The sequence below is a fragment of the Homo sapiens genome, chromosome 11 (genome assembly GCF_000001405.40).
Source record: "Homo sapiens chromosome 11, GRCh38.p14 Primary Assembly".
NCBI classification, from domain to species: domain Eukaryota; kingdom Metazoa; phylum Chordata; class Mammalia; order Primates; family Hominidae; genus Homo; species Homo sapiens.
The window spans coordinates 38,891,154-38,899,228 of NC_000011.10; positions in this window are offsets into that span (position 1 = coordinate 38,891,154).

An 8,075-nucleotide genomic window follows, 5' to 3' on the forward strand; every position below is an offset into this window, starting at 1 on the left:
GAACACTGGGAAATACAGAAATAAGAGTAATTATGTACACTTTTAAATGATTCAAAGAAATTTAATTGAATTTCGAAGAGATAGATTTTTGGCTGTTGTCTCTCCAACTAATTTTGCCCAGCATTATTTGAACTTGTAGACAGATTTGTCAAGTTCTACAAAAGACAGCAAATAACTTTCGGATAACAAGTAAACTTTGCTGTATTTTTTTAGGCAAGTTCATCATGCATGAATTTCACATCCTCTTTTAAAAAAGTACTGCAGTGTAAACACATTTATGAAATGTCTACTGCTAAAGAAATCATGTAGCCTAGTTTACATGGTTTTACACATATTTACACATTAATTGGACATTATAAAAACCCTACTTTTATTAAAAATGAATTTAAAATTCTACAGTGACATGTGAAAACAAAATAAAGATATGGGTACCAGTCCCAGCAATATTACCATTTGTGAATTAAACTTTTACCAAAATGCTTAGTTTCCTTAGAAACTATTTTTCTAATTTTATGATGAGGTATGGTACACTGCCACTGCTTTCATCTGCTCAGTATCATGTTCTCTGGGGAATTTTCCAAGTTTATTCTTTTTAATTCTGGTAGTTCTTATACTCATGAGTCAGTCTCTCTCTCTCTCTCTCTCTCTCTCTCTCTCTCTCTTTCTCTCTCTCTCTCTCTCTCTGTCTCTGTCTCTCTCTCTCTGTCTGTCTTTCTGTCTCTCCCCCCTCTTCTCTCTCTCCTGGAAATGTTAATCTTTAGGAATTTATCCAGTGCCAGAAAGCAGGCAGCTGGTGATGAGTATTTTGTAGCATGTAGAATAAGGTACACTAGTCTCTGCTACTAAGATTCCTGAAGCAGTTGTGTGTCCTGTCTTTTCCAAACATGACTGGACAATTTCTCCAGCACTGTAATTTACCCTCTATCTTCTAAAAGTCGACATATTTATGCTGGTATCAATCAGAATTTCTTTAAACCTTCTTATATGGTTTGGCTGTCTCCCCACCCAAATCTCACCTTGAATTGTAATAATCCCTATGCGTCAAGGGTGGGGACAGGTGGAGGTAATTGAATTATGGGAGCAATTTACACCATCCTATTTTGGTGGTAGTGAATAAGCCTCACAAGATTTGATGGTTTTATAAGTGGGAGTTCCCTGGCACAAGCTCTCTTGCCTGCCACCATGCAAAACATGCCTTTGCTTCTCCTTTGCCCTCCACCATGATTGTGAGGCCTCCCTAACCGTGTGGAACTGTGAGTCCATTAAACCTCTTTCCTTTATAAATTACCAAGTCTTGGGTATGTCTTTATTAGTAGTGTGAGAACAGATTAATACACCTTCCATCTTCTTTAATTAATTAATGACAGAGGTAAATTAGAAGAAGTGCTTTGTTAATTACAAGACTCCCAATGATTTTACAGTAGCTTATTTACCTTGGGCAAACTATAAGGAAAACAGAAAACTTAGATGTACATTTTATGAAAATATAAATATAAATGCCTTAATTATCAGACTAAGGATATATTTCATTCACAACTATGAGATTTTGAGTATTTATAATGTTGAAAATAAATTTGCTAAAAGCCTTGGTTCTCAATAACTAGCTCTACAACACTGAAAAAGGTAAGATTTTTGTATGTCTTTTTTCTTATACCTCAAAAAACTTCAGTTTTCCACTTTTTATCTCACTGGCAGTGGTGATAATAAAATGTGAATTTCTTGAAATTGTGCAAAACACTATACAAGTAAGGTAAAAGCAATGCTGTTGCTCTTATTTTATTGTAATTATGTTCCCGTGTCACTCTCTAGATATTAAATGCCCAGGATGAAGGCAGTAAGCTAAAATTGTGGTATTTGAAGTTTTTGCTAAGACAAATTTCATAAAAGAATTAGAGAAAAAACTTTTTTGAATGATTTATAAAGCCCAGGTAATAAGACATATTTTTCTAAACAAAGATTGTGTTTTCTTTATATGAAAATATCAACAGTGTCTAGCACAGTACTAGGCATGTAGTGCTAAGTACTATAAGTAAAGTTTTGCTCCCTGGCACATCCAAAATCTAACTTTAAAATGATTCCTTGTGTTATATATTTGTTGATATGTGTTAATTGCCTCTGATATATTAATAAAGTACTTACCTAGGAGCTTTGAACGCTTCCTGTTGCTACATTTTGATTTGCCACTCATTTGCCAATCTCTCTTGGTTTGCTTTTATTTTTGAAATGCAGGTTTTTCTTAGTTTTTCTAAGTATAGGTAGTTATAAAAGAGCATTGTGGGTTTCTATTTTTCATATGTGAGTTAACACCATTACATGCTGCCATGAAAGTGGGTGAGCCACCATTAATCATAGAATCATGCTGCTGGAAGGAAACTCCAAAGGTCAGATAGTTAATCCTCTTGACTCCACGTAGGCTGCCTTGAAATTAACCTAGACAAATAGGTGTCTGTCTAAGCACTTAAAGGTTGAATGGCACCATGAATGTATAAACAATCATAGCCAAGTGGAGTATGAGCTGATCATTTAGATAATTCAAGCAGCATATCTTCACATTGGTTCAATCCCCTAAATATATCAATATTTCCATTTGAACAGTGGTGTAGTTTATCAGGAGAAGGTGACTGGACCATCAGAAAAATTATCTTAGAATATTTTGTTGAGAATGAAAGAAGAAACTACATATAAAGTGCCTTGTATCGGTTATTAACATCCCAAAGCTTTAAAAAGCTTAAAACAATATAAAGTGATTTAAAACAACCATTTATTTGTTCATTTGATTATATAACTTGGGCTGGACTCCATGGAAATGGATAATCTCTACTCCAGTGGTGTTGCCTGGGGTATGTTGACTTGGGTGGTAGTATACAAAGCGTCTTCATTCACATGTCTAACACAATGGATGGCGGTATTACAAGTATTAGTATAGGCACACTGAGCCTCTATGTTTTTGTGTCCTCTGTAGAAAGAGAGTCTTTTTTTGTTTGTTTGTTTGTTTGTTTGTTTGTTTGTTTTGAGACAGAGTCTTGCTTGTCACCTAGGCTGGAGAGCAATGGCGTGATCTCAGCTCACTGCAACCTTCACTTCCCAGGTTCAAGCGATTCTCCCGCCTTAGCCTCCCAAGTAGCTGGGATTACAAGCACCCACCATCATGCCCAGCTAATTTTAGTGTTTTTGTAGAGACAGGATTTCACCATGTTGGCCAGGCTGATCCTGAACTCCTGACCTCAGGTGACCTGCCCACCTCGGACTCCCAAAGTGCTGGGATTACAGGCCTGAGCCATCGCGCCTGGCTGAGTCTTAACTTCTACAGGAGGCTGACTAGCAAGAGGACAAAAATAGAAGCTACATACTTTCTAAGGTCAAGAGATGGAACTGGCAGAATGTTGAAGCCAGTGCATTTTAATTGGTCAAAGAAGTCACAAGACTGATGGAAGGCAGGCATGTACAGGGATGAGTCCAATTTCTAGAATAAAATCTCAGTAGAATCTGCCACAAAAATGTATGCCCCTCTCATGTGAAAAATCTACTCACCCCCTTCTAAGCCACCTCCGAAACTCACCCTAGTAGAGCGTGAGACTTGAAGTTTAGTATCTTGTGATCTACATCAGGTCTGTATTTGGATCTGGCTTTCTGGGTGCTAGTCTTTTTCTTCTTAAGTATTGATAATTAAAATGACTGATCGTCTGCACCTAGTATCATTCATAGACAGGGGCAGCACAATAGAGACTCTCTTTGAATGAGAGGAGGGAAAACAGGCAGCACATTGCAGACTCTGCTGCATTGTAGTTCTGAAATTCAGCTGTCGCTTGCTCTCAGAGTATTCCTGCAGGGACGGAATGTCCTTTGAATAGAAGCCAATTACGGCATATGAGAATCGATCATCAATCCATATAGAGCTCTACCTTGGTTCTATTTGCTTTGCTCTCTGAGATACCATTCCTTTATCATATGAAACAACTTTTATATGTTGCTGAGTAGCTTTTTCTTTCTGATAACTAGACTGTTCGTGGCCAGAAGCTTCATTTCATTTTCGACTTTTTTACTACCTTCTAGTCCAAGCTGGTATAAGTCCTGTAATAACTTCTTATCAAATTATTCATTTTCTTAGGCAAAAGTCATACCAACCAATATCTTTAAGTCAGACCCTTCTTAATTTTGGGTTGCAAGCCATGGTTGTCCTTAATATTCTTAGAGGCCCTTTTTGTCATGCTGAAGTAATATAAGAGAAAAATTTTCAAGTCTCTCTGAGGTTCTAAAAAAGGGTCTTATGTCTGTACCCTTTATTTGATCTTACCCCTGAGGCCATGTTTTATTGAATTTGATGGATTTGTTTGCCCTGGATTTGATGTTTGCTTGAGGCTATTTCAACTTTATGGCTAAGGATTAGAAATAGATATATATTCCAACCTATCAAATCCTCAGACGGAAATATTTCCTCTGAATTATGTATTAAAACTGAATATTTCCTTCTTATTCACATCATTCTCTTCTTACATTTTATCATACACAGTAAATAAAGTCAATTGGCACTTTTGATTCTGGATATCTCCTTAGTCAGATATCTTTTCTCTATTTCACACTAATTTAATGAGCAACTTTGCCAGTTTTTCCACCAATACAAGCTGCTGGTTTTCTTTCCTTGAGCCTCCTACTGCAGCTGCCTCATTGCCCCCGCAGTCTCTACCAACAGTCTCTTCTTACCCACATAGCCTCTTCCAGCCACCTAATTCCAAGCCAACACCACGTATTTTAAGTTTCTGTTATGCAGTGCTCCACTGCTGGGTATTAATGTGTGTCTCATTTATCTATTGCCGAGTAACAATTGCTGAATAACCACCAAATACTTCAAAACAACTACCATGTATTCCCACAATTCTATTGGAAAGCAGGACTTTGATGGAGAGTTCTTCTGCTCGGCGTCACCTTGGCTGTGGTCACCATTGCTGTACCATTTGTTTTGGAAGCACAGTTGACGATGGATCCTCTAAGACAGCTTTCATTACATACCGAGTTTCAGCTGGGGAAGGTGGAATGTTGGGTATTTGGTTGGGCTTTTCTTCACATATTCACTCACTATTAATAGTCTAATCTGAACTTTCTTACATGGCAGCTAGACTCCAAAGAGGGAAAGTGGATGTTGCCAGACTTCTGGAGACTTACATCCAGAACTAGCAAAGCATTTGTCTTCACTGGATTTTATTGCTGGAAACTAGTCATCAGACCAACTCGAATTCCAGAGGAAGACACCACACCTGTCTACTGATGGGAATTGTGATATGTGCATACAAAGATTAAAGGAATTATTAGAAGTCATCTTTAGAGACAACCTGTTATATGCCAATATAATTCTGGACATATATTGGGTAATCAATAAGCATCAGTTGTTGTCCCCATCTTCCAGATGACATAGCATTACTCCTTTTGTACAAGGAATGTATTTATTATATAATCATTTATAAAATAAAATGAATTTTACCCTCTCAGTTTACTTATTATAGTGATTAGAATTTCATTTTTAAGTTTCTTTTTTTCAAAATAAAGGCACCATCTTCAATGACAAAAGATTTTGGGAGATCAAGTAGTATGATGATAACAAAGACAATGCTGGATTTTACAATTGCAAAATGTTATTGATACACATCTTTTTATATGGCTTAGAACCCTCTTCCTTAGTTTGAGGACTAAAGGAGGATGAGATATAGTAGAATCATGAATAAGAACTTTTCAAGCTTAGGTGCTTAAAATAATATGGGATGTGGGGGAGAGAGATTGTTATGAGGGAGGTCTCTTTCTACTGTCTTAACTTTACGTATATGCAAGGAATTTAAATTTAACAATCTAAAACTTTATATGTGCTTCCCACTCTCTCTTTTTTCAGCCTTTGATTACTTGTTCCAGCCAATAAAGATATATGCAGTGTAGGTGAGATGAAGTCATCATCTATATTTTGTATAAGTGCAGGTAACACATGCAGATTAGATGGAATTTTAAACTAATACCATATGGTCTGATTGTTTACTTTTTTTTTATAAGAGGGGAAATGTTTTATTTTTCTAAGAGTTTCCTTAGAGTATAGGACAAGGAATTTCTGGATGAGTACATTCAGGCATATTGACATCTTGATCCTTTGGTGTGAGGCTTCAGGGAATGAGTCTAAAAGGCCCTGGAAGCACCAATGGTTGGTAAACTTGAGCTGACATATTGACTGTGACAAAAGAAGCACTACGCACAGTGTTACCAGTTGTGGGAGTAACTGCTTCTGGAAGGGTGGTCTCTACTGGAAAATAACTGGGTGGTGATAGGAGGCACTTTTATCTGTATGAGTTTCAGAAGCATTTCAGAAAATATTTTCAAAGTTCTTTGTGTTGGCAATAGTGAGAAAAACGACATGAAAATGTGTTTTCAAGAATGACAGTGGAGATTCCTCTGGTCACCAAAAGCTTCACAAGGAGCGATGAAGAGAGTTGTGTATTCTTGTCTTTTACCCCAATTGCTTCACTCAGTCAGCACAATAGTGTTCATAGAGTGAACAGGAAAAGGAAGGCAGTAAAAGACATCTTAACATAGGGACAAGGGTAGTGTTAGGTGCCAATGAAAGTCCTCAGTGAATCCAATTCATGTGCATAGATCAGAAGAGGCTTAGAAAGATTGTAACAGTGAATTATAGGTGATAGAAAAGCAAAGACTGGGAGGACATTCCTGTAGACTTAGGGTAAGACAAAAAATGAAGCTTAGTTACATTATTAGAGGGAAAGTAAAAGTTTCATACACTAGTCTCCGTGTTTATGTAAGTAATATGGTTTAGATCTGTGTCCCCACAGAAATCTCATGTTCAACTGTAATCCCCAGTGTTGGAGGTGGGACCTGGTGGGAGGTGATTGGATCATGAGGGTGGTTTCTCACGAATCGTTTAGCACCATCCCCTTGGTGCTGTTCTCATGATAGTGAGTGAGTCTTTGGGAGATCTGGTTGTTTAAAAGTATGTAGCACCTCCTTCCTCTCTCTTGCTCCTGCTCTCACCATGTAAGACGCCTAGCTCCCCTTTTGCCTTCTGCCATGATTGTAAGTTTCCTGAGGCCTCCCCAGAAGCCAAGCAGATGCTAGAATCATGTTTCCTATAGAGCCTGCAGAACTGTAAGCCAATTAAACCTCTGTTCTTTATTAATTACCCAGTCTCAGGTATTTCTTTATAGCAGTGTGAGAATGGACTAATACAGTAATATGTTAAACCCTACAGGGGAGGATCAACATGGGATGTGAAAGGAGTGGTGAACGGACTCCACCAGACTATTAGAAATAAAATGCACAATGATAAAACAAAAGAAAAAAAGAAAGATGGGAAGTGATGAAAACTTGAGTCACATAAGGGCTCATGTTTTATTCAGGCAAAAAAATTATTAAGTTCTTCTTTTATGTCAAACACTTTATTGAGCAAAAAGAAGAAAGACCTTTAATTTTGAGGTAAATTATTTTTTATATTGTGAAAACAGGCACTCAAACAGTTATGATTCAATACTCAGATAAATAGATCATTTAATATTGTAAGTTATATTCATCCTCAGTTTACATCTTTATGTATATATATACACACACAAATTAATGTATTACACATTAATGTATCCAGTACTATTAAATTTTTGTTTTTTAATATGAGCAGCATGTTATAATTTCTTTCATTTTTCAATCGGTCTGCTAAATTTTTTGATAGCTCATTCAATCCATGGAGTGTTTTCCTTTGAGATAGATTTCTTCTTGAAATTTTCCTGTACATATTGTAAATTTTCTACCCTTATAAATAACTTACCTCCACAAAGCCAATCCTTTTAATTCATCACATATACATTTAATTCTGCTGTTCATATTACCACTTGAACTTTCCTGAAACTTTCCTTTCCACTGTCAGTTCAAGCTGCCAACTCAAAAACACACACAGAAAGGCACAAAGGAAAGAACCAGATAAGTCATATAATAACAATATTGCCATATATATTCACCATAATCCGTAATGAGCTCATAAATTCACCTGCAGTACTGTATTTCATATTTCCATCAACCTGTATGTTCAATTTTTTTTC